The 27,730-nt window shown below is 39.5% G+C and overlaps 1 protein-coding gene and 2 long non-coding RNA genes across 56 annotated transcripts in view, besides 3 other annotated features; 1 reads left to right on the top strand and 2 right to left on the bottom strand.

Moving 5' to 3' along the window:
- RHOBTB1 (Rho related BTB domain containing 1) overlaps window positions 1-27,730 on the top strand; it is a 141,108-nt gene that overhangs the window by 31,690 nt on the left and 81,688 nt on the right. For 21 of the 54 annotated variants that reach the window (XR_007062022.1, XR_007062020.1, XM_047426080.1 and 18 more), the window contains exon 1: window positions 26,093-26,307. The exons of 20 other annotated variants lie outside the window; for them this stretch is intronic. The gene's annotated coding sequence lies outside the window, so the exon portion shown is untranslated. Of the gene's footprint in view, window positions 1-25,551; window positions 25,629-26,092; window positions 26,312-27,730 lie in introns of those variants that run through there. 13 more of the 54 variants (XM_047426098.1, XM_047426095.1, XM_047426087.1 and 10 more) reach the window with 2 other exon arrangements.
- On the bottom strand, window positions 264-27,389 carry LOC124902431 (uncharacterized). The gene is made up of 3 exons (XR_007062151.1): window positions 26,868-27,389; window positions 2,718-2,804; window positions 264-371 (listed from the first exon to the last, which is right to left on the bottom strand). It is a non-coding gene; the product is annotated as an uncharacterized LOC124902431 (long non-coding RNA).
- Window positions 1,853-2,147: a silencer, noted in NCBI's record as "tiled region #5027; K562 Repressive DNase matched - State 8:EnhW". NCBI's record gives its function as "represses a minimal TATA promoter and a strong SV40 promoter by Sharpr-MPRA in K562 cells {active_cell/tissue: K562}" and the evidence as "EXISTENCE:reporter gene assay evidence [ECO:0000049][PMID:27701403]".
- On the bottom strand, window positions 25,012-25,904 carry LOC107984236 (uncharacterized). The gene is made up of 2 exons (NR_160732.1): window positions 25,647-25,904; window positions 25,012-25,255 (listed from the first exon to the last, which is right to left on the bottom strand). It is a non-coding gene; the product is annotated as an uncharacterized LOC107984236 (long non-coding RNA).
- Window positions 25,840-26,169: a silencer, noted in NCBI's record as "silent region_2391". NCBI's record gives its function as "represses an Ori minimal core promoter by ATAC-STARR-seq in GM12878 lymphoblastoid cells {active_cell/tissue: GM12878}" and the evidence as "EXISTENCE:reporter gene assay evidence [ECO:0000049][PMID:35858748]".
- Window positions 26,200-26,379: a silencer, noted in NCBI's record as "silent region_2390". NCBI's record gives its function as "represses an Ori minimal core promoter by ATAC-STARR-seq in GM12878 lymphoblastoid cells {active_cell/tissue: GM12878}" and the evidence as "EXISTENCE:reporter gene assay evidence [ECO:0000049][PMID:35858748]".

Raw genomic sequence — 27,730 nt, 5'->3', positions numbered from 1 at the left:
GTACTCAAAATTAGGAAACATTTTTAATATAATAAGCAAAATTGGAATAGACTTGTAACCACAAATAACCAATTTTTTTAATTATAGCATTGACAGAAAGGTTGCTATTAACTATTACAGGCAAACAATCAGTGATCACTATGACATTTTGCTAAATGACAGCAAGCTTCATCCACAGCATTGGATGATGCCCTGACCAGATACAACTGGAGAGTGCACTGGAAATACAGTCTTTGAGTAATGATTTTACCCAGTTGGCCTTCTATGTGTCAATCAAACGGTTGGCCCAGTTTGCCAGTTCTCTCCTTGCTGACATCAGAACTGAAATGGGTTGATGTTTGAAGTCCTATAGTCTTCTCTCAGGTGTCCACCTGAGAATGGAGGAAGGGATTATAAGCCTTATATTCCATTATCATCCAAGGTATTATTATTCTATTTCTTTAAATACTAAAAGCATAGCCTAAAAGTGATCCAAAAAGCTAAGTCATATTATGATGTAATAAATGCCTAGTAAACAACTCTAGAACTGAAGACTCTCAAGATTGAAGGTGACTTCAAAGGTCATAGATGATGATCCTAAACTCTTCTGACAACTGAAGTGATGCTAAAACACACAGACAATAGGACTCTCTTGACCTTCCAAATTCAGGCTGTTCTGATTGATAGAAAATCCTAATTGAGCCATAATCTGTCTCTCTATAAATTCCCTTTACTGGTCCCAGATGTAACCTTTGGGGCTAATGAACTGTTGACTTCCTCTTTGATGCCCTGACAAGCTCCTTTCCAACACTTCACTATTTCTTCTGTTTTCCTTCCTTCAACACCCTACTCACTTTCCCCTGAACATACTCTGATTTTTAATGTTTTACAAACCCAGGGTATTGCAAAAACAGGATAAAGCACAATTAGCAACAGCTCATTCTAAGCACTGTCTTTCTCTTAACACCAAAGTTGCTTTTGTGGCTGCTATATCAGAGTGACACCTGAAATTCCTAAGTGCTTCTCAAATATCTAAGCCAAGTCATATGTGCCGCACCCTGTATCTGCACAGTTGGGTTTAGGTTTTTTGTTTGTTTTGGACCTCCATAGGAGACCTCACATCTATTTCCATTAATGTTACCTCATTAAATTTGTTCCATCTCAACTTCAATTTTATTTTCATTTGGAATGTAGACTGTATTCTAATTCTGTCATCTCACTTACTCAGTAAGTGAAATCCTAACTTTGCATCAGCTGTAAATTTAACTAGCATACTTATACTTTCTATTTATTCAAATACCTGATTTTTAAAAAATATTGACAATAACAAGAACACGGGCATCAGCATTAGAAATGTCCTTCTAGACTGCCATCCATTGCCATCTCTAGCTGTGACCATTCAACAAACTGCCAACACCCCTGATGTCTCGCTCATATTTTTTCATCTTAGCCCCAAGGATGCCATGTGATGCCTTGGCGAACATCCTGTAGAAATCCAGATACCTTAATAACCACCATTGGTTAACCTAGTAACTCTTTCAGGGAAAGGAAATGATGTTTGTCTACAAGATCTGTTCCTTAGTGAATCATTTGGTGCCCGGCTGTCAGTCTCAAAATGGTTTATTTGAGGCTTACTTATATGTAGGTTTTGAGAAACTATCTCCCTCCCCATTTTGAAAATCAGATCCACATTCAACAATCCTTTGCTTGTGTACACCTCTCCTGCTTTCTGCAGCTCCTCAAAGATGGTCAGCAAGGGCTCAGTAGGTTTCATTGATAGCAGGGACCTCAGCTTACTCATTGTCCCTAGCACCCAGCTCTGTGTCTGCAACATAAGAGATATCCTGCTATTTTTAAGAATCAAAACACTAAAAACTTGTTATTTTGGTGCTCATACTCCTGTTTTAAAACATTGAACTAGGAATTACATATGTCTGGAAACAAAATTCATTTACACACTACATTTGAATTTTGAATTGAACAAAGGAACACTCCTACACCTGACCACATGCCACGCCCACTTACCACCCTTCCATGTCATCTTTCTGTGGTTTTAAATGACATTCTCTGGGTTTCCAGAAAGATAATTTACATTTCTCCAGAGACACATTGAGCACCAGTTTTCCTGTAGAGGTGCAGATGGAGCTACATTTGAATTGGCTGGTGAAGAGGTAGGAGAGAAAAGCATGGGGCACTGAAGAAAACAAGAGGAAGGCAGAACAGGGTTCAGAGAAGTGGGGTTGTGGGGAGGTTTCCAATTCAGTCCCTCTGTCCTAGGACTGCAGTCCCTCTGCTCCCTTCTTTCCCTCCAGCGCTAAATTCTCCTAGGACCAGACCCCTTTTCTACCAGCATAATGGAACTTCTCCCTTCCTAGTCATCTTAAGTAAATTTAAGCCAGAACAGGGACATTTTGAGTGGAACAACTTCTGAACACAAATGAAAGGGTAATATGACCAAATCTCACATTTCAATAAAATTCTGGTAATTTATTTGGATTAATCAAAATATAGAAACACCAGCATTGTCTCTTTGCCCTGGGGTTGCAATCATTTCTAAGGAATAAAGAAATGGATAAACAGGGACACAGCTCTCACCCCTGAAGGCATTTAGAATGCAAAGTGTCCTCTTACCCTCTCTTTATTCATCTTCTCTTCCCTCTCTGCAATAGTAGTCTATCGTTTCCCTTCCAAACATCATTCTCTCCTTGACATAAACAACAAAAAGAAAAAAATCTTACAGCTCTGTTCTTTTTCTCATCCATCAGGATTGCCATCCTCTCTCAGCTGCCGGTCTGTTTTTTGAGGGAACAATGTGTTCCTTGAACCTGAAAAGCAAACAAAGACTGGACACACTGGCTCACACCTGTAATCCCAGCTACTTTGGAGGCTGAGGTGCAAGAATCGCTTGAACCCAGGAGGTGGAGATTGCGGTGAGCCAAGACAGGGCCATTGCACTCCAGCCTGGGCAACAGAGTGAGACTCTGTCTAAAAAAGAAAAAAAAAAAAAAAAAAACAGGCAAACAAAGAAAAACCTAAATGTATTCTGCTATATTTTTTTTTTCTAATTGGTCTTAGATCATTTGAGAATTTTCCTTTTTACTTGCTATTCCCTTGCCCGGACTACTACTCTTTACCTGGATTTTCACAGGGCCAATGCATACCGTTCAGGTCTCCGACCTAGAGTCAGTGCCTCCTCAAACCCTGACTGCGGTGTCCGAAACAACCATACTGCATCGCTCCCTCACCCCCACCCTGCTTTATTTTTCCCAAAAGCACCATTGTTAACTGGAATTAAAGATGTGCCTTGTTTATTTATAATATTTCTCCCCAAGAACTTTGTCGTGCTTACACTTGTATCCCCAGTGCCTGGCGCAGTGCTGCTATATAGAAGTTTCTTAATAGAACACTTGGACACAGGAAGGGGAACATCACACACTGGGGCCTGTTGTGGGGTGGGGGGAGGGGGGAGGGATAGCATTAGGAGATGTACCTAATGTAAATGACGAGTTAATGGGTGCAGCACACCAACATGACACATGTATACATATGTAACAAACCTGCACGTTGTGCACATGTACCCTAGAACTTAAAGTATAGTAAAAAAAATAAAGATTAAAAAAAAAGAACCAAAAAAAAAAGAAGTTTCTCAATAAATGTGTGCTCAATTAATGAAGCAAAATAGATGGTTTAAAGATTATGTAAAGCAGAGCTACACAGAAACTAGAAAGAAGATCACATAATAACCACTGTAGTGGTTTCTTCATTATAGTTTCCAACTTTTTTTTTTTTTAATTAGAGATAGGGTCTGGCTATGTTGCCCAAGCTGATCTCAAACTCCTGGTCTCAAGTGATCCTCCCACCTTGGCCTCCCAAAGCGCTGGGATTACAGGGGTGAGCTACCACCCCTGGCCTCCAACTGTCTTTCACTTCAGAATTATGTGCAACTACATGGTAGAACTTGCTATTTTAAAGTAACTTTTGCTTTTTTTTTTTTCGAATATAATCAGAATTGCTTTGATAACCTGAAAAGTCACTTTGTAGACAGCTAAAAATATAGACAGATAAACTTGAAAAGAAATTACTCATAATCCTAACATCAGAGAAAACTAATATTAAAAGTTTTTTGGTATGTTTAGAATTTTTGCAAACATCTCAATCTTTTCAAGACATTATTCCTTTCAAATTCTTATGCTATAGAATTCTTCTAGTCTGTTCTTCAAACTTTAAAAAAATCTGTTCTCATAAATTTGCCATATTTGTCTGATTTTTTCAGACCTATCCCCATCACAGTTTTTAAAATTATATATTTATTGTCTGTAAGATTCCTGTTATTTCTGCATGGCCAACCACTTCCCCCGATGAGTTAGAATTTGATTTTTTTTTTAAATATCAGTTCCTCCCTTTATTTCCTCAAATTTTCGAACAATGAAATTGCCAACAAGGCAAGACAATGTCCTATCAGATGTCCTGAGGTTAGCAGAAAATGAATTCTAGGATGGATGGTTAGAGGTTACCATCATAAAAACACTTGTCTCATTTAGTCTTATGACTTTATTCCCCAACTACGGATAGACCATGAGAATTAAGGTAATGGAAAAATCCTGAAGAATTGCCAAGAAACCTGTATTCATTCATTCATTCATTCATTCAGTTATTAATTTTTGAAGACCTATTTTGTGTCAAACATGGAGGCACTTGAAATACTACCTTAGAATCAAAGAGCACATTACTCACAAAAGGCACACCAATTAATTCTCTTACAAATATGTATTGAACACCTACTACATGCCAGGCACCATGCTAGGCACACAAATAGGGAAGAATCATGATACCAACAATACAAACACACTTGAGTTTAAATCTACTACATGCTAGCTTATAAATTGCCAAAGCATTTTTTTCATCTATAAACTGAGGACTTAATAATAGTCCACTTAAAGGACTATTATGAGACTTTAAAAAACTAAGTCATCCAAGAGTCTAGTGATACAGAGATGAGCAAAATAAATGCTCTATTCTCAAGGTACTAGGAGTTTAGTATATAATATATATAAAACCTAAGCATTTCAACAATACTTATTGAATACAATTAAATTTAATACATGGCAAAATATGCTGCTATAATATTTGTCTTCTCTACTGAATGGTAAGTTTCTTTGTATATGTACAACCCCTAACATACTATCTGATAAGTAATGGCATACTCAACGAATGTTAAATGGTTGAACAAATAGATGCCTTATAAGTAACTCACTCTTCCTATCACCCTAAAGTTGTGAAATTCTCTCCCAAAGGCAGAGGGTTTATTTCCAGAGACTTTGTTTTAGTATTACTAATTTAAATTCTTCCTTAAGACTTTAGGAATGAAAGAGCAGATTAATTTCTGCCTATAAGGTAGGATTACATTAGATATTATCCCTAATTTTTATAAAGAAGGTTGAAGTTTAATCCACCCTGTAAAAATCACAAGTTGATCTTTGCTCTCCACTTGAAATTATTGAAGCTTCTCTTCCCAGAAATAAGTAACAGTTTGGAAATTTTCGCATATTTTTCTCTATACAAACTAACTTCATTAAGAAAGACTAAAAGAGCTGGAGTTTCTGGTTTCTGGGGCATTGAAAATGAAAAGCTGAAAGTCTAAACAATGACTAACACATTAGTCATAGTAAGCAGCTGTTTTCTAATAGAACAAGAAATGACGTGTTTAAAATGCTGCAGGAAAATTAGGATAGACATAATAAAGAAATTTTTATCTGGCAAGAGTGACTCCAAAGCAGGTGGCCTTAGAAAAGCATGCAATGTAAAGTTTTTAAGGGTTATACAGCAATCCTTGAAGTAATTGTAATTTTAAAATTGTCTTCCTTAATACAAGTTGATTGGATGAGATGATTTCCCAAGGTCTCAAATTTTTGGCTTGAGAGACTTTGCTTATTTTCCATGTGTCCCCTAGAGGGCAGTGGTGGCCCAAAACCCAGGAGAGCGTTTATAATCAGTTGTATCCTCTCTGGCGCCAACCTTCTCTCCAGCCTCTTTGCTAATTCACCTCACAAATCTGTCTTCTGTGAGCAAATTGGCAGTAACATGTTTATTCCTAAGTACCTAACGAGCAAAACCACTACATATTAGAAAATAACGTTGCATGCGTTATATTTTTACAAAGATGGAAAAGAAAAATCTCATTTTGCTAAGATTATATTTTATGTTTGCATGTATTGCCTGCCTTAACACATGCACCAAGGTTGGTAGGTCTTTTTTGTGCATTTTTCATGAATTTGGGGGTAGAGAATGTTGTGAGACAGTGGGGAAAGGTGACAAGATGTGTCAAGGCAAACAAATCAAGGTTTTTTCCCTTCAGTTGGAAATTCATTTTGAAACAATCCTTAAGTATTACTGAATGACTACTCACCCAATCATTTATTCACTGAGGAGTTACCTAATAGTCTAAGAACCATTATTAGATGCTATCGTTGGTAATGTGTGGAACAAAGAAAATATTTCAGGGAACTTGTAATTTGGAAAGTGATACTAAATTACTTGATACAGGTATAAGGAAGGATGACACAGGAAGGTATCCAACTTGTGAATTTTAGTAGCAACATAACACAAAAACCATTACTCCTTTTACAAATGCTTTGGATATCTTTTGGAGGACCACAGATCTGAAATATTTTTCCTGTTCCAATGGAACACATGACCTCATGTTTTAAAGGTGATGACTAACCACAGGAAGCTTCCTAGATAGACAAAGGGAGAGCCTGAATATGCATTTTTCTAAGGCAGAGGCTTTCTGTTGTAATGTTGCTGTCTAAATATTTTATTCTTCTGAGAAACATTTTTATGCAAAGGGTGCAACTTTCAAAGGAGCCTTTTTGCAGGGTTGCCCTAAAAGCCTCTTCTAATACCTGAGAATTTATCTTTCAGGATCTCTTTTATTGTAGTCAGAATATTTGCTGATTAAATTCACTTTCATCGTCTGAAATTGGGAGCAAGATACAAACCTCAAGTATGCAAAGAAAAAGATTGATGACATCAAAATTATAATTCAGTCAATACTTGCTGAGCCATTTGGGTCTCTGTATGGAGCGGAGGGCAATGAAAATTGCCTACCCATACAGCAATGAGTGGCTTTGAGAACATTCCTGCCATAACTTTTGGTCAAACCAAATGGTGTGGTTTGTTTATGTGATCACTTGTTTATGAAGATTGCTTTGGTTGCAAATTATACATATTTGCAATACTTCTTGGAAGAATTCTGCCATCACATCTGTAGCCGTGGTCTGTATTACAATCAAGACTATTTAGATGTTAGAAAATAGATTTTCAGTCCTAACAACATGGCTGGGGATTATTTATGATATTCTAACTCTAGATTAGGAATGGCATACATTGAAACTGGTAGATATTTTAAGTGGCATTGCTTTGAAGAGTTAAAGTAGTAAAATCACAGTATTGTCAGTGTACAGGTTATGCTTAGGAAACCAGGACTGACTCAGAAAGAAGACAAAATTGTTACGATGGGACCAGAAATCAGAACATTTTAAAAAACTATTTCTACTTCCCCAAAATTGACTGGGCCAGCAGTTTTTTCCAAGATCATGGTAAATTGTTTTAAGACTTTACCGAAGGACAGAAGCTTTAAATACTTCTTAAATGGAAAACTTCTTTAGAGGAAAACAAAATTAGGATAAAGACCTAGAAAATTATTTTATACAGAAAAAAATACTATATAATTTGCTTCTTCCTGAAGTATGGAAATTTCCCTAAAAAGCAACAAATATTATTTTGTATAAAGAGCATACTTTATACATAAGATCCAATTTGGACTTTATAAATACTTTCGACTTTATTTTGCATTTGCAATTTGAGACAAACCTGTAAATGGTTACTGTTAAATGATCATTCTTCCTCCCCTGTCATGTCTGCGCACTTGTATTTATCAGTCATTGGGCATATTTTGATATATTATCTATTGTAGGTAAGTATCTCTTTTTCTGTTGGGAAGAGTTATATTGGTGGTCACAGACAACCAGATTATTTTAATTTTAGTTCCAACAAAGAATTACAGACTGCTAGCTGCATATAAACTTTATAATGCATAGACATTTTCTAATTTGTGGCTCATTATGAAAATTTCCACTTACAACGATCCTATCATTGGATCTCAGGTACAAAAAAAAAGCCATTATAAATGGGCCAGGCACAGTGGCTTAGGCCTGTAATCCTAGCATTTTAAGAGGCCGAGGCCGGCGGATCAATTCAGGTCAGGAGTTTGAGACCAGCCTGGCCAACATGGTGAAACTCCATCTCTATTAAAAATACAAAAATTATCCAGGCGTGGTAGTGCATGCCTATAATCCCAGCTACTCAGGAGGCTGGAGCAGGAGAATCATTTGAACCCAGGAGCGGAGGTTGCAGTGAGCCAAGATCATCCCATTACACTCCAGCCTGGGTGATAGAGGGAAACTCTGTCTCAAAAAAAAAAAAAAACAAAAAAAGGTTATAAATCACCACTGCATTAATAGCATTGCAATAATATATTCATAGAAAAATAACTTATCTTCCTTAGAATGTATAGCTTGTGAAAGCACTTTCATATATACAGCAATGCATTTGAACTTCATGCTAATCCTAGGTGGGTATGGTTAAGTCCCCCCATCTCTAAGAATTTGAGAGGATGGGGGAGCTTCTCAAGGTCACATAGTTTGAAAATTGTTAAGCTGGTTCTCAGACAAGCTTTCATTCTGAATCTAGATCCATGTGACATTCTTATGAGGCTGTATTTACTACATCATTGTATTCATTTTATTGTACAAGGCAGCCTACTTATATGTTCATGTAAAATATTCACAATGGTGTTATTATTGTGTGAATGGCAGTATACTTAATGCACCGGTGTTATTTGCCCCCCTTTTGGAGAGGAGAAAGCAGAGCTTCAGCAAGGTCACATAATACATCCAGAATTGTACCGCTAGTAAGCAGTGGAGCCAGGGTTCTAATCCAGATGTGTCCAGCTCTAGGCATACTGTGTCATCTCATAGTATGTTCTTCCTGAATACAAGGTTTCCTATATGTTCACAAGGACATTTTTGTGAGCTCTATTTTGAGTGTAATTTGCATGGCATGCCACAGTGCCTCTTGAACATCAACAGAAGACCAACTGAAGTCACCTGGGAAGCCCCAGGGTCCTTTGAGAATGACAGCCCCACACCCCTTTCCTTTGGTTGGTTGAAGGGCTAGAAGAAAAAGAGGGGCTGGGTAAAGCACAGTTGACTCTCTGAGTACAGTACAGATAGAGTTAGTGAATCCCCATACTTAACCACCCTCCACCCCCACGAACCCCAAGTCAATGAAAAGATAAAGAAGAGCTTTAGAAGGGGAGAGTTTGACAATGACCACAATCCTGCTGTCAGCTCTGTGGACATGATGGTGACAAAAAAATCTTCCTGAAGTGGTAATAACAAGCTCATGGATATTAGCAGTGGTAAGCAACAAGGTAGCTGCCAAGAGGCAGCACCCACTGACATCAAAGGGTGCAGGCCATTAGGGGTAGCTGCCAGGGCAGCCCAAGAGGCTACAGAAAATGCAATCTAATTGTAATCATTTCAAGTTCTTTACGACTTGGATTATGATCTCCCATAAATAAGAAAGCATCAGATGTATGGTGGGGACATGATCCAAGAGGAATATAACTTAAACCCCACTCAAGAATATTTCCAGTATTAATATTCCATCCAACCAAATAGTTCAAACTCTCAGACAGATAGTATGAATATGACTTTCAGACAAAACAGTCATTTATTTGGTACAATATATTATGTTACAAATACAGATTATTAAATTTCTAGTTCTCTAAGGGGCCATTTTGTTTGTGTGAGTAGTTTATTTACAACTGGCAAGATCCACATGTCTGACTAGACGTCAGACTCTGTTGTGTTACTTACGTAAACATACTATTTGATTAAATTCGCCAGCATAATCAATAGGGGGTTCTGGTTGTCACATTAATTACATTCTATGGAAATTCTATGGAAGCATCATTTAATTAGATTTTTCACTTAGTACTTAACAGAGTATAAGAAATGTCATCATAGTTTTTTGCACATGGTAATGAAATCATTGGTACATTACCAAGATTAAATCATACAAGAATGTCTACCCTTCTGTTTTCCTCTCTGCTAAAATTATAAAGCTTCTTACAGTACCACCTGTGATGATAGGCAGGATACACAGAATTTCAAAGCTTTCTACAACACCTACCAATCTCCATGTCAGAACAAATTAGTATTTCCAGCCTACTGTTTATTATTATGGCATTTTAGAGCTTAATAGCTCAATCTTAACATTAATACATCTGCCTTTATTGTGTGTTTAATATGTGCAGTGAATATGTTAAGTGCTCCATTTACATAATTGTATTTAATCTTCAAAGAAACACTTTGAGGTTTCTTTCCCATTATACAGAGGTGGAAACTGAGGCACAGATCACTTAGATGGTAAAGAATAGAGCCAGGATTTACTCAGTTCTGATTCATTCCAAGTCCCATCTAGTTATTTTTTAGTTGCAGAAACAGGCCCAGAGAGATAAAGTGTCTTTCCAAAGTACACATAACTGGAAAGTGGCAGAGACAAAACTAGCACTCAGGTTTTCTGACTCCTGCCTGTTAGTTTTATTGCCAGAGCCATCACTGTAGGACTGAGAAGTTCAGCTATTTGTTTGTTTGTTTGTTTCATTTTTGTTTCAGCCAATAGCAGCCAGGCTCAGAGACATGTGAGCAACATCCACTAGCACTGCTGCCTGTGATGTGTAGAGCAATCACATTTTTAATGGACTGTGTGTCTGAGTCCTTTCTTGTCCACGTAGCTTTTAAAGTGATCTGGAGTAAATCTATTGCTCACTTGGCAATCAGTATTTGGCATTGTTCCTCAAATGGTGGAGTTAGATATCTGGATTTTGCTTTCTCCTACATCCCTGGAAACTTTTTCCTGAGAGTGCCATACTGTAGGTCCGTTTTCCAAGAGCAAGAACTGTGACTGTTTCATAAAGAACCTTTCAGTCTAAGCAGCAAATATGTGGCCATGTCTTTCCCTTGCTTTAAACACTCAGATAAGAGTTTGTTTTGTATTTTTTTAGTCACAGATGGGTGTTACATTTTACCAGTTGCTTATTTGTATCTCTTGAACATATGGTTTTCTATTTTACTAATGTGGTGATTTATGACTGATTTTTGAACGTTGAGGCAACTTTGCATTCCTGACCACTTAGTCCTGATGTACTATTGTTTGTATATACTGGGAGGCAGGGCTCACTGGAGACCACCAAAGTAATAGTTTACCAAAATGAAGATGCCACTATATTAATTACAAAAATGAAGTCTTTTTATTTAAATATCCTACTCTGGGCCAGGTGCGGTGCCTCACACCTGTAATCCCAGCACTTTGGGAGTCCTAGGCAGGAGGATCACTTGAGCTGAGGATTTGGAGACCAGCCTGCACAACATGGCAAAATCTCATTGCTACTAAAAATACAAAAATTTACTGGGCATGGTGGTGCACACCTGTAATCCCAGCTACTCAGGAGACTCAGGTAGGAGGATCACCTCTTCCTAGGCAGTCAAGGCAGTGAACTGTGATCATGCCTCTGTACTCCAGCATGGGCAACCGAGTGAGACCCCTTTTTGAACAAACAAACAAAACAACAACATAAACCCAAAAAGCTTCTACTCTGTCTTCTGTGTTGAAGATGTGGTTGATGGTTGATATTTTGTGAGATTCTCCTGAAAAAAAATGTTTTGGAAATCCATATCTATATAGTGTTTCAATTCCAAGTTTTGCCCTATAGATCCATTTATTCCTACTCTTCAAATAAAAAAGTAAAATTTTAACTTCTCTGACCTGTGCAATATTAAGATCCCAAACCTCTTAAAAACTAAAATCTGTCAAGTTCCTTTTGCAAGACGGTTGGCTCAGAAGTTTGGGCTTCTAAAGAAATGAGAGTTTAACATTTTTATATTGGACATATTTTCAGAAAATTTAGAATCCCATTAGTGTTCTTTGTAACATGCTGTGCTCAAAACTAAATTTTTTCAGGCTTCAACCTTATGCATATAAAAATGGGTTCACCTCAAGTTCCTTATGATTTCTTTCCTTTAGAGGTGCTTGACTTTTCTACCTCCTTTAGTTTGACGTTGGCTGTTTTGTGTACTGAGTCTTTTCACCACATGTCCCGAGGACCCAATTACTGGCTTTTTAATGAGATTAACTGTGGGGTCTGTATCTGTTCTGGCAGACACTCACAAGTGGTGTCTGCTCACAGTAAGTCATTCCACTTTTCAGTAATATTGTATTATGGTTGTGAATTTGAGTTTCATTTAGACTTTCAGTTTTAATCCTTGAACTCCCCTTTCTAGGGATGTGGTATTGCACAAGTGACTTAACCTCCCATACCTCAGCTTTCCTGTCCGTACAGTGGGAATGGTAAAGGAGATACAGTGGGAAAAGCACTGAACAGTGTGTCAGCTATGGAGTGAGCATTCAATAAATATCATTACCATTGGACAAGTTATGAATCTCTTTCAGTTATTCAGAAGCAGGTTATTAAATTTCCAAGTTATCCAAAAACCTTTTTTTTTTCTTTTACCACTACTTACTCACTTGGATCTGCTTTTTAGCACTTTCAATATCATTTTAGCATTTGATTCAGATTGGTTGGTTTTGAGGATGGGAGAAGAGGGGAATTTGTATTGACCGTAAGGCTTGGTGGTGGCTGCACCACTGCACCAATCTGGGAACCATTTAAGTCCCTCAGAAGACTACAGTCCTGCACCATATAATGACATTTCAGTCAACTGTGAACAGCACATACGACAGCGGTCCCATAACATTATAATGGAGCTGAAAAATTCTTATTGCCTAGTGACATTACAGCCATCTGAACACCACACATTACTCACATTCTATGATGCTGCTGCTGTAAACAAATGTACAAAGCTGACGGTCATATAAAAGTATAGAACATATTAATACAATTAGGTACAGCACATAGTATTTGATAAGGATAACAAGGGACTCTATTACTGGTTATGTGTTGACTATCCTTTTTGTCATTATTTTAGAACGTACTCCTGTTTGTATATATTTTAAGTTAAGTGTCAAACAGCCTTAGGCTGGTCTTTCAGGAGGTATTCCAGAAGAAGGTATTGTTATCATAGGAGAGGACAGCTCCATATATGTTATTGCCCCAGAAGACAAAATTGTTATAAATATAGCAAAATGTTTAAGTGAAAAATACTTCATCAATCATGATAGCACATTCTTAGTGTTCAAGACAGCGATATGTTGGTTTTTCAAGCTGTAAACAAGTTTGATGCACATATGGGTTCCTGTTTCCCTTGCATTCAAACTCTGGACCCTTCTGAGTATCTGTAACTGACACATTGTAGACCACAAATTTAGATGGAGGGAATGCTTTCTAATACTGAGTCAGCTGCCTCTCTGCTACCCTAATTACTGTTTGATAATAACATTTTCCAGTGGGACAAAATGTGGAGGTGAAAGACAGTGATATTGATGATCCTGACCCTGTGTAAGCCTAGGCTAATGTGTGTGTTTGTGTCCTAGATTTTAACAAAAAAAAAAAAGTCTAAAAAGTAAAAACATGAAAATAAAACACTTTTAAAAATAATAAAACTTATACAATAAGGATATAAAGAAGATATTTTTGTACAGCTAAATGTGTTTGTATTTTAAGCCAAATGTTATTATAAAATAGCCAAAAGGTTTTTAAAAATTAAGCTTACAAAATAAAAAAGTTATAGTAACCTAAGATTAATTTATTAATGAAGAAAGAAAAATATTATCTTATGAATATAGTGTAGCCTGAGAGTACAGTGTTTATAAAGTCTACAGGAATGTGTAGTAATGTCCTAGGCCTTCACATTCACCCACTATTTACTCACTGACTCACCCAGAACAACTTCCAGTCCTGCATGTTCCATTCCTAGTAAATGCCCTATACAGGCATACCATTTTTTTAGTCTTTTATTCATATTTTTACTGTACCTTTTCTGTGTTTAGATACACAAATACTGATCATTGTGTTACAATTGCCTACAGGATTCAATCCAGTAACATGCTGTACAGGTTTGCAGCCTAGAAACAACGGGCTATACCATATAGCCTAGGTGTGTAGTAGGCTATGCCATCTAGGTTTGTGTAAGCACACTGTATGATGTTTGCACAACGATGAAATTGCCTAAGGACATGTTTCTCAGAATCTATCCCTGTTGTTAAGGGATGCATGACTGTATTACCAGACTATTAACAAATGAGGCCCACTGTGATATTTTTGCAGAATACCACATGATAGTAGTTCAATGTGTTGAGTGAGAAAATTAATAATTAAAAGTTGTTATAAATGTAACAAAATATTTAAATGAAAAATACTTCATCAATCGTGATAGCACATCCTTAGTTTTCAAGATAGTGATATGTTGGTTTTTCAAGCTGTAAACAAGTTTGATGCACATATGGGTTCCTGTTTCCCTTGCATTCAAACTCTGGACCCTTCTGAGTATCTGTAACTGACACATTGTAGACCACAAATTTAGACTAAGGGAAGGCTTTCTTACACTGAGTCAGCTGCCTCTCTGCTACCCTAATTACTCTGTTTTATAATCAGCATTGCTGGTACACAATAGTCTGGCAATTCAAATGGAAGTATTTGTGCTTTGTAATGATAGCTAGCAACTCTCTGTGGTTTGGGATAGCTCAGGACAGATACTCCTTGAATAATTACCCTGCTCAATCAGAAGGAAGCATTCTTGTTATATTGCTGTGCATGATTGATCCATGTCTGTACAGCATTTTTTTGTTATTTACTCTGATGTTCACAAAGTGTGTTCAGTTAACACATGAATTGAATTGTGGCATTTTAAAACCATAAAGAAGGTTCCCCTTGCTGGCTGGGTGTGGTGGTTCATGCCTGTAATCCCAGCACTTTGGGAGGCCGAAGCAGGCGGATCACGAGATCAGGAGTTCAAGACCAGCCTTGCCAACATGGTGAAACCCCATCTACTAAAAATACAAAAATTAGCTGGAAGTGGTGGTGCACGCCTGTAATCCCAGCTACTTAGGAGGCTGAAGCAGGAGGATCGCTTGAACCCAGGAAGTGGAGGTTGCAGTAAGCAGAGATGGCACCACTGCATTCCAGCCTGGGCAACAGAACAAGACTACATCTTAAAAAAAAAAAAAAAAAAAGAAAGAAAGAAAAGAAAAGATTCCCCTTGTCAAATAAGTATGGGTAGCTCAAAGTGGACTATTTCCCTCTTATAAATGCATAATTTACTTTCACATATAAATGCCCTGAGAACCCTTATTAGAAATTATAATTTTCTTTAAGAGGAGGATAAAATATGAACTATTTCCGAAACTTGACCATTTATGTTAAATAATAAAAGACTATTTCCCTTTTTTTAATAGTTTCACTCAGGGCTGGTACAACAGAACACACTTTGGGAAATGTTACTTGACCAACTTATCTCCTTTTATTTATTAAATTCACTTTTTGGGTAATTTCAAAAATAATTTTGTCACATTTCCTTCCATCCAATTTTTCTCCTCTTTCTCATCCATTTTTTCAAGTAGGTTTCCAGATTTATCAAATAAGAATACGCGACACCACTGACACTTGAATTTTAAACAAACTGAATAATCTCTTGGTACAGGTATGTGCCAAATATTGCATGGGATATTTGAATGTAATGGGGTGTCCTCTATTTTATCTGGCAACCCTAAACCCAAGCCAAATGATAGCAATCAGTGAGTAAATAATAAAACTGTCAGTTTAATTTAATAAAAAGAACATGGAAAGAATTCATTCAGTGCTCATTGAATATGTTTTTAAGTATTTCCAAAATAAAAGTGTAAAGCCTTTTTGAGACTGCTATATCTTCTGTATTTTTATAATAATTTCAACATGAAGAGTGTAATAACCCTGGTACTCTGGTCTGTCATAAACTCTTTTACTCCACTCAGAGCACTTTCATTTTACAGAGGAGGAAACTGGACTCAGAGAAGTGACTTGACTTGCCCAAGGAAATTCTCCCACAGGAGCTGATAACTGCCAGGCTTGAGGCGTTTTCTACTTTCAAGCCAATGGTCTATATTCTCACCAGGCTAATGTTCATTGTATTTGTAGAGCCAAATAAATAAATAAAACTACACACAAACACACACACACATACACTTTTAAAAAAGGTAGTGGTTATAATTAGCCAAGTTTACCGCTTTAATTGATTAAACCACAATAACATGGAATAGAGTTAAAGTAAATTTAAAGCTTAAAATTACACTTTATATAACTTAATGTTTCTTTTAACAGGACATTTTACCATCTCCCAATATCTCAGTCCCTCATTAATGTGTAGTAAGAAAGAGTATAAACTGAAAGTGAATTTCAAAGGGTTTTTCATGTGTCTTTGTGTTTCTATTTATAAACTATTGTTCAGGATATATATGCTTTTTTTTTCATCATTAGCCACCTCAACTGTTTTATCGAGAAGAAACATCAAGCCCAGAAATATTACAGTATAAACAAGATACTGTTATGACACTAGACTATTCTGTTATCACTGTAATAACAGTATACTGTATACTGTAATTACAGTGTAAATGATAATGCTTATAAAAACAACAGGTGTGATAGATTTCTTTCAATAGAAAACAGAACTCCTTATCTTCACAGTACATGGCATATCACCTCTGTTATTAAAAAGAGGAATTGTTCGGATTGAGGTATTGAAAACTGTTAAGACAAAAGTCGCTTAGGTACTACTTTTTGTTTCCTAGGAGTGTCTCATTTGGTATTCATTCCACACAAATGCCACTGTTTCTTCAGGTGCCATGTAACTTCAGAGAAAGGCATGAGAGAAGCCGGGCCTTCAGCAAGGATATGGGACTGGCTAAGAATTAAGAAGAAAGAAGCCTCACTTTAGAACTAATGGGGTCTTGTATGTATAGCTTATTCCCCCACTGGATAGATATGGATACTTAAACATTGAGAAATCTTTATTCTCTACTTGAATAGTTGAGAACAAACGATACACTCACGAGGAGGCTAACCTTACCCATGTTGTCCATATATTTAAATGAAATTTTATAATAACTCCATCTGTTGAAATGGGCTGTGTGTTTTTCCGCATGACTTTCCCATTTTATCTCATCAACCTGACCTTGCTGGCACAAGGTACAATCACTGTAGTATCCTGCTTGTTTCATCAGGAAGTGGAGCAATAGTTTAATTTGTTAAGGAAATCCCAAGGAATGAACTAAAGCTTGCGTTGTGTGTTTTCCCACAAATTGTGTTTTCTTTGAATTTGTGGTTGTGAGGGCATATCGCTCATCGACACCTGATCCACAAGTATTGGCTGTTTGTCAAGGACCCCGAGAATCCTGAAGTTGTCACGTCATAGAGATCAGTTCTCTTCAACTCTACTCAACCTTTAATCTACATGAAACTTTGGATATATAAAATACTAAGGTAGTTTACCTGAGTTTAATATCAGAATTTAAGATGAGCTGTAGCCCATTAGTCTTTCAAGTATATAGGATGATGTCATGCATTGTAATCAGCAATACTTTGAATGAATAGGGAAGGGTAAATATGAAATGCTAATTATATGAAAGTAGAATCTTTCTCTGTCAGTAGTACCTACTTTAAGATGAATAATACTTTCTAAGTATTTGACCTGTGGCAAGTGACTTGCTCTTTTTGATCCTCGGCTTCCTCATCTATAAAATGGGGATAATAGTGGTGCCTCCTTCATTAAGTCATTGTGAGGAGTTAATGAAAGTGAGTATAAAAGCATTTGGCTTCATGCCCAACACATAGTGGGTACTTACTAAGTGCTAATTAGTATTATTACAGCTTAAAAAGACAGGTGGTGATCTTGGTGTTTATTATTATCATGTGCACTAGTCCCATACTTGTTTATGACACTGTAATCTTTGTGAAACATTTTTTTATGATCTCAAAGTGCCTTTTCATGGGTGATCAGTGTTGACAGTGATCACAGTAGAACAGATAACACCATAAAAGACAGTTTTAAAATTCCAGCTTTAAAATTCCAGCTTTGCATAAATCATATAGCTGGCCTTTATATATGAGTGATTAAAAGAAATTATAACTAACTCATCTTATAAAAGTTTTATCATGTACCGTTCTTTTTTGGGGGGGTGGGGGGCTGTGACAGAGTCTCGCTCTGTTGTCCAGGCTGGAGTGCAGTGTCATGATCTCAGCTCACTGCAACCTCCACCTCCTGGGTTCAAGCAATTCTCCTGCCTCAGCCTCCTGAGTAACTGGGATTACAGGTGCCTGCCAGCATGCCCGGCTAATTTTTTGTATTTTTAGTAGAGACGGGGTTTCATCATGTTGACCAGGCTGGTCTCAAACTCCTGACCTCAGGCAATCTGCCCGCCTTGGCCTCCCAAATCATTTACCATTATTAACAACCATTTACCATTATTAACAACCATTTACCATTATTAACAACCATTGGGCACTTTCCTGCCCAAAGTGCCATTCAAAGCACCATGGGGATGGAGAAGCATGAAGCTTCCGTGCCTCTCACCAAATCTTCAAGCTCTTCTAAGATGGATACCGTGACAGGATGTGAGCCTTAGCCTCTGATCCCTGGAATCATCGGCTTATGTTTACAAGCTAAGTGATTGTGCACCTTCGATGCTGACCCTGAAGTGTTTAATGGCTTATGTCACCCACATGTGATGCAGTTAACTACTTGACCATAAAGGGGGAGTTTACCAAATGATAAATTTAGGTCATGTGAAGTATTAAAGTAGGCATAAATATTTACAGAGCTAAGGATACTCTGAAATTGTGTGCAGAGAGAAGGATATTATTGAGTCAGGCGCAAGAAGTGAGGTCATCTTTGCTTTTAGATTAGGAACCATTATGAAAGGAGTGGTGGTGCCAATTAAGGAAAGCCTCACAATTCAGCTTCTTTCCAAGAACTGATGGGTAGGTCTCCTTCCAGGACACTGGTGTTTCTAAAGCACTTGTATTCCTTTTGAAGTGGTATCTATATACAAGTTAGTGTACTATACACTAAATTACTTCAAAAGCTTTGCATCCACATAGTCAGAAGATCAGGGTTAGATTAAATGACATGTATATTACAGATGCTTGGTATGCAGGAAAATGTGATATGAACATAGGGGAAATTATTTTTCTGAAGTAGGGTGTTTGTGTATGTATTTGTAGTCCACTTATTTTCCTAGTTTCTGCATGTAGTTTAGCTAACTTGTACAGATGGGAGAAGACACAGCAGTTGCAAGTCAACGGCAGAGCAAAACATTCAAACTTCAAATACTAAACTTTCTACCTCATACAATTTGGTGGAAGCTTTTATGTATAATACTTACAGTCAGCATTTGGGGAGGGAGGAATTGGGGGAATGATACAGTTGCTATATTATTAATCTTTGGCACTCCTAAATCAAATGATACCCTATGCTGCACAGCATTGTTTAAGGGGCCTCATAATGAGCCCGTTTTTACACTTATGAGTAGGTATAGAGCTTTACATCTTACAAAACATTTTCCACAAACATCATTTCATTTAGTCACCTTAAGGACTTTTTGGAAAGTTATTATTCTTGTCCCCATTTGACATATGGAACTTTGCGGTGTAGTGGGTTAAGGAAGTAGCACAGAATTACATCCTAGTTAGTGAGATGGCCAAAATACAATACCGCTTTCTTTCTCTTTCTGTTACCCTCTGATCCCTTTAATCTTTGTTTCGTTTTTGGTTTTTTAAACTTGTTTCATAAAGAGAAAGTTATATGAAACAGGTGGTCAGGCAAGATAGCCTTAAATGTGCTGTGACACATAAATGTAATTTATTTTTAATTAGGTAAAGTTGAAATCTAGCATTAACACCTTTTGTAATATTAAGAATGTAGTTCATGAAATAAATTTCTCTCTCAAATGTAGATTTTTTCCAGTACAAAATCATATTTTTGCTTTTTAAAATGTCAAAGATACACATTATACATTAAATTGTTGTCTTTTTCTTTTCTAGAGTTGTGACATACATGTTTTCCAATCTGCTATGCCATGCCTAAACAAAGTCAGACAGATGACCATAAAAACTGTTTGCTACCTCCTCTTATGCATGTTGAGCTAGACCAGTGGAACACCATCTTGGTAGGACAAATTTTGACAGAAAGACTGCAGTTAGAGTTGCAGAATTTGCAAAATCACATTTTTACCAAACTCACCCTACCCCAACAGAAAACCTAATGAATGAATCCACACAGAAAGGACTTTAGGTAAACCTACACAAATAATGTAACATGCTATAAGAAAAGGATACCTTTTGGTCTATTTTCAGTACATAGCCTACATTTCATTGGTGCCCAGTAAAATAGAAACTGCAATGGAAAAGATACTTTGTCTTCACAGAACTAACAATGAAAAGTACACAGTATCTAATGCTTCTGTCTTTAAATGGGTAATCATAGGAAATGCCAAGAATAGATCCATTAGGTTAGCTTAAGTATTTATCTATAAATTTGTTTCCAAAGTTATGCTTTAAAAAAAAAAAAAAAAAAAAAAAAAGCTTCACCTGGAAACCACATCAATACCAACAGTCATAACTGGACTGCAAACCTAAGAGTTAATTTCCAGCTGTAGCTTTTAGGAAAAAGACATCACTTTTTAGTTGATTCCTACACCAAAACTTGCTCCAATTTCCCCCAGAACAGTGGGAAGAAAATAGGAGCTTTAGAGATCTGAAGAGTTGGTCTGAGTAATACCTGAGATAATTCCCAAGTAGTCAAAATCCTGCAGAGCTGGGCTACTCACGCTGAAGGGTCTTTCACTTTTACCCAAGTGCAAAAACTACGAACACACAGATTCTTTCAAAGACAGCCCGTGGTATTTGGGACAGAAAGGGTTAGTGATGGTAGGTTATGCCTTGATGTTGACATATCCATGACATGAAAGCTGGGGAAGGGACCCTAGATGGAAGGCTGGACATCATCTTGTTTGAGACTTGTCTGACTCAGAAGCACCTTGGAGAAGCATCTACTTTAGCAGGAATACTTGAGTGACTGAACGCAATAAGGTATTTTAGGAGAAACAGAGGTCCCAGGAGGTCAAGTCATTTTCTTTATGACCCATCAATACTTAGCATTAATGAAGAGCCTCAGAACAGTCAGTCTTTCCTGTTTGTCATCACTAGCTGGAGCCCAACAGCCTATTAGACCTGTGCTGTCCAGACTGACCTCATTGCTAGAAGCTAACATGTAAAATGATTTGTTCAAGGAAGCTGCCACTAAACCACTGCTAAAGGCCAGTGCCCAGCCTTCTTATTCTCCTGTGTAGTCCAGAAGTATTTCCTTAAAAGTCAGAAAATCCATAAGCATGAGCAGTATAAATATGTCACCAGCCTCTTCCTCTTTAGGAAGCCAGAAAGTTGTTGGGTGTTATTAAAGCCACTGGCTTAACTGCAAGAATCTACTCCAACAACTGTTTCCCAATATACCTTTCTACCAAACACTTATTCTTTAAAATGGGCCATACATGAGCTTATTCTCTTTCGTGCTTCAAACCCCTGTTAGTACTAGTCCCCAAAATTTCTCTGTAACTCCTGGAACTCATCATCCAGGATAATTTCTCCTAAATAGCCAATGACAGCATCACATGCTGCATCCAGAGCAGAGAGATGGACAGCATGAATCTCTCTTCTTAGGTTAGTCCTGATTGGACAAAGCCACTGCTGTGACCAGCTGCATTGGCCCCAGGAGGCATCTGCACCTGTCACAAGGCTCAGCCTCGACTACACGTGGCTAAGGTCTCCCTGTTTCTTACCAACCACTGAAATGCAGTCTTATAAAATAAACCTGAAAAGACCCTTTCTATAGGAGTTTTATGTAAGTACTTCTCTTACCTAAGAATGTTCTTGATAAAATTGATGGCAATAGAAATGTTGAACAATATATTTGAGTTGAAAATAGAGTTCCCTTGGGATGGTAGTACTTAATTTGCAATTTGAGAATTCTACCACCCCAGAATGTATTTTTTTAAACTCTTAAAAACTCAACAGTAAAAAGACAGACAATCCAATTATAAAATAGGCAAAAGACTTGAGCAGATATTTCAGCAAAGAGGAGATAAGAGTGGCAAAAAAAGCCAATGAAAATATATTCAACATTATTATTCATTAGGGGAATGCAAAGTAACACTACAATGAGTTGTCTCTACACAACTATTATAACAAGTGAAACTTTGTAAACAATGATGATAATACAAATGCTAGTGAGGATGTGGAGATCTCTCATACATTACTGGTGGAAATGTGAACGGTGCAGCCATTCTGGAAAATGGTTTAGCAGTTTTTTATTTAGCATATGACCTAGCAATTGCATTCTTCAGTATTCATCCCACAGAAATAAAAACTTATGCTCACACAAAACCTATACACAAATGTTTACGGAAGTGTTTTTCATAATATTAATAGCAAAATACTGGAAACTACTCAAATATCCTTCAGTGGGTGAATGGATAAACAAACTCTGATACATCCATGCAATAAAAATTTAATTCAGCAATAATAAGGAATGAACTATTGATACATTCAATACCATGGATGAAATTCAAGAGCATTAAGCTTAGTAAAAAAACAAACAAACAAAAAAAGTCAATCTCAAAACATCACATACTTATGTTCCGATTAATATAACAGTCTCACAATAAAAAAACTCTAGAGATGGAGAACAGATTAATGGTTGGGGATTGGGGGTGCAAATATGAAGAGGTAGTATGAGAGGATTCTTTTGTGATAGTGGAACAATTCTATGTCTAGCTTGTGGGATTTTTTTTAATCCTATGACTTTGATAAAATATTTGCCATAAAAACTAGTCAAAAGTTTTAAAATCACCTTTGTGCAACAGAAACATGAAAAGTGTTTAAAGATACAATGTTGCTTGAATTCCATTTAGGTACCATTTTTTATGTTTACTTAAAGGAATGGTACTGATTCTATCAGCAAGCAATGATTTTAGTATACAAAAATGGATCTTTTCATGGAAATAACAAGAGCAGAGATAAACTCATGACAGTGATTACAGGCGTTATTTGATATGATTCCTTTTCTCTCTTTTCCTATTAGCAAAATACGGTCTGTACTACTTGCTGCATTTTCTCCAACTTTTCCACAGTCTGAGATTTTATAAGTAAAGTTTGGGGCTGCATAGTACCATGTGGCAACGTCTTTCTCTGATCACTGCCCTTGTTTGGAGGCACTTTCCAGAACAATGACTTTTCCTCTGCTCTATCTGAATTACTGTTGATACCAACTTATTTTCTTGAAAGGTCTTCCAGTTTCCCTCAGATTTAGGCATTCAACTAGGTAATTCCAACATGGCTGACTGTTCTTTATCCCCTTTAGAAGGAGCATCTTTTGGAAGCCTGTGAGCCTTGGTGTGCCCTGGGGGTGGAGGTCAAGAGCTGAAGGGTACCCTGACAAGTGGGGTCTTTGTGTGTCTTTCTGGTATAGGCACCTGCCTATTATTTAAGAGAAGCATGACACTGAACTTTTTTTAACTTAGAACTGAGAAAATGGAAGAAACTGAGGAAAAGCAGGCTGTTAAAAAGCAGGTCAGTGATAAAATAAGACTTTGGCACAGACAACCCCAGGTGCAAATGCAACTGTCAAGACATCAGAAAACTAACTTCTGCATGCCTGTTACCTCGTCTGTAAAATAATTAGGATAATTATAGCATCTGCCTCATCAGTTGTTGTGGGGATTACATGAGAAAATGTGTTTTAAGCCACTCAGCCCTGTGCCCCCCCACATATGAGGGCCGTGATACATGTTGATTCCCATTTCTTTTGAGTTTCTACCCTATTTTTTAGCTGCCAGGGCAGTTTGATGAGAAATAGCTTGTAATGAAGAGGACTGATTGCTAGGAGTGAACAGGGTTAATTAACTTTTCCCAAGAAATTTGTACCTGAAAAGAATGTATTTTGTTTAAGGCTTTCAAGATGGAGTCATTTTGCAAAATACTAAGGGAAGTCAGTTTTTTGTTTTTTTTTTTTCTGAGAAGGAGTCTTGCTCTGTCGCCCAGGCTGGAGTGCAGTGGCGCGATCTCGGCTCACTGCAACCTCCGCCTCCCAGGTTCAAGCGATTCTTCTGCCTCAGTCTCCCAAGTAGCTGGGACTACAGGCGTGCGCCACCGCGCCCAGCCAATTTTTGTATTTTTAATAGAGACGGGGTTTTACCATGTTGGCCAGGCTGGTTTCGAACTCCTGACCTCGTGATCCGCGCGCCTCGGCCTCCCAAAGCGCTAGGATTACAGGCGTGAGCCACCCGCCTGGGCCGGGAAGTCAGTTTTATGCCAAGTAAATGATCACCCACCTCTTGGATGTGTTCTTGGAGTAGACACCTGTACTTGACTTTTCACTACCCTCTCTTTCTGATATCAAAGACTAGGGCCTTGGTAACTCCATTTTCAAAAATACTGCCGTGGGAATGGCTTAAACAAATGAGGTTGCCGGTGATAACTTTCCTCGTAAAAACATTGGATTCCACTATTTTCTGGGGTCTCTGGGGGATTTAGAGAGCACCAGGCAAGCCTTTGACTTCAAGAGAATACAAGCAAGTGAGGAAGAGTAGAAATATCCACTGGACTGGAAGTCACCTGGGAATCTTGGCTGGAGGGTAATTCATCAGGAAACTGAAGACGGTTTCCTGGAAGAAACTGAGGGACCAAGAAGTGTGTTTGCTTTTAGAATTTTTTCACGCATCCTGTTTTTGGGGGGATAAGCCAAAGAAGCATCCCTTATAATAGGATGGACTCTCTTTTCCCAGTCCTTCAGTATCTTAGGAACACATTACCTGAGAACCGGTGAGGCCAAGAATGACATTGTTTCCATCTTTGTATCCCTAGCTCTCTGCACACAGCCTACTCAATAAAGGTTTATTAAATGAATATATTCATTCCTCTCGGTAGCTGAACACAGTTGTGTCTTTATTCCCCAGTGATCTCTTTACAGGCTAGGAGTGATGGGTTTCATAAGGCATACTAATTTTAGCAGGCTGACTGAAAGCTCCCTGATGGCAGGCACCCGGTTGTTTGCTTTCACTGTCACCTCCGTAGAGCTTGGCCAGGCACCTGGCATCTTGTCACTCTATAAGCATTTATGTGAATGCATGAAAACTACCCCTGGTTCTGTCCTCAGAACTCACGGTCAGCCTGGAAGAGAGAGAAGTTTCTGTGAGGAGGCATGGGCTGTCTTGGAAGACCAAGACAGCCCATGGAGGCCACAGTCAATTTCACCTCCTCACTCAGCCATTTGCAGGAGGTTATAAATCACCTCTGTACCCGGGTCGGGGTCAGCGGTGCGTCCCTACGCCCCCTGGGGGGACCCCTCCCGCCAAGTCGCGGAGGAAGGTAACCCAGAGTGGAGGAGCCAGCCAGCACGTGCAGCCGCCCAGGGAGGAGGAGGCTGGGCTAATGCAGCCCTTAGTCAGCAGCTGGGCTCGGTTTTGAAACAAAAGCCAATGTCCTCCCTCGGAGTCCGCGGCCGGTCAGCTCCTAGGGGGAAGAAAGCCATGCTGCCCAGCCGGTTAGTGGCCCAACTTACTTTTCCAGAGCCTGGGACAAAGGGCCAGCAAAGGCACGGGAGTGGGTGGGATGTTGGGGCAGGGGTACGGGGACACAGATGGCCCAGACTCTCCCCTCCCGGCAGCGCGGGGAAAGGGCCGGGGTCTCCCATGCTCTGTGTCGGTTTGTCCCGGGCGATCCGCCTCCGTGCCCGGGCCCGTCGGGTCTGCGTAGAGCCGAGGAACCTTTGCCACCCGTGTCCCAGAGCACAGACACACCAGGCCCCGGTTTCATGAATGAAATCCAATCGTGTGGATATAAATAGCCGCGAAGGCTGCTAACGTCACAGTGCGAGCGGCGGCCGCCACGGCGGCGGAGCGAGGTGCCGGGTGCTCCGTTCCGCCTGGCTGCCCCGCCTGGGAGCGGGGTGGGGGCAGGCGAAGGGGAGGGCTGCGGGTGGAAAGGGGCGAGCCCCTCTCGCCCGGGACTGGGAAGAGCGGCCACGGCGCCGGGCGAGGCGGCAGGGCGAGGCAGTGCCATGCTGCCTTTGTGCAAAGTTGGGCGGCGGGCGGCGCGCCGCGCGCAGGGGCCCCGCACACCCGCGACCGCGCGCAGCCGTGGCTGCTGCTGAGTGGCGGGGGCCCCCCCGCTCCCCCCGGCCCTTGAAGGCGGAGAGAGCTCGCGTCTCGCTCGGCTTCAGGGTAGGTTCTGTGTCGTGAGTGCTCTATGCTATGAAACTTCTCCGAGCAGCCGCTGCGGAGCCCCCACCGCCCCGGCCCCAGCGGGTGGCAAGTGGGGGCCCTGGGCCGTGCCACGAGGCCAGCAGCGCCCCGAGAGAGAGTTGTGGGACCGAGCCGCTAGGGGGGCCTCCCTCGCCTCTCTGAGAGGCCGGGGACCCTCCCATCAGAGGCAAGCACAAGAGATTTCTAGGAGCGCCCGCACAGCCGCACCCCTAACTTGGAGCTGAGAAAATGTACAACAGGCACCCTTAGCAGGCTGGCTGCGCCAGGGAGGGGGTGGTGCCGCGCCGACGAGAAGGCGCTTCCCCTTCGAAGGCCAGTATGGGGAGGCCGGGCGGGGACCGGAGGACCCGGACAGGGGAATACGCTAGCCCCTTTGGCGCTTGCACCCTCTTGAGAGTTGACTGGCCAGCCCACAGTCGCTCCCCTCCCCTCCCCCGCAACCCCGTGTCTATGGAGTCTGTTGTGAGTTGCTGTGACAACAGGAGGAGCTGCCATGAGGGGCTTGCAGAGCACCTTACCTTGTCTGTGTGTGCTCAGCTTTGGGGAAAACAACCAAGGGGTGATGTGCAGACAGGAGAATCCAGCCCTCTGCCCCCCGAAAAGAAGTGGAAGGCAACTATGTAGAAATATATCATTAGATCCTACTGTTAGCTGCACCGTTTCCATCCCCAGCAGTATCAAACATCTCAACTGAGGAGCGATGTCAATATTTAGACTTGGACAAGCCAGAAAGTTAGAAGGGAGCGCCAAGCACAGGGTTTTGACTTCGCTTTGCACGTTAGCACACAAGCTGTGCCTTTGGAGCTGACTGTACACAATTGCTGGGGGCAAAAATGCATGAAGGTTAATATATACACAGAGGCACCCAGATCTAGGAAAATCTAGGAAGTTAAGACCAGAAGAGTCGCCCTGACTTTGAACTTCCCCATCCTGTGCTGTTCACTGAGCCTTGTTGAACTCCAGCCAGACGCTCAGCTTGAGATTTCACTGGTTTGGGGCTCCCCCACCCCCAACCGCTGCGGTGGTGTACGTTCTGCACTAACATACTCTAAACAGAAAAAAAAAAAAATACCGTTATCGGTGGTTTCATCTTTGTATAAGTCCTCTGACGAGCAGCAGATAGTAAATAGTCAATAGGCTGTGTTTGTTTGGTCTTAGCAAGGCTTAGACCTTTTTAAACATACTCTGGTAAGTTTGTTTACAAACCCTGTTTAGAAATTTGGAACTACGTTTCATTTCCAGTAACCTTGTAGATGCCTAAGAGAGTCACTGGTTGCTAGAAAATAAACACAAGCTCTTTTCAGCATAAATAATGTCTGCATTCTGCTCCCCAGGTGGAGTGGGCAGTAAATTATTATATTAAACATGGTTTCCTCTGAGA

Source organism: Homo sapiens, chromosome 10, assembly GCF_000001405.40.
Source record: "Homo sapiens chromosome 10, GRCh38.p14 Primary Assembly".
Taxonomy (NCBI): Eukaryota; Metazoa; Chordata; class Mammalia; order Primates; family Hominidae; genus Homo; species Homo sapiens.
This window is presented reverse-complemented; position numbering and strand designations above follow the sequence as displayed.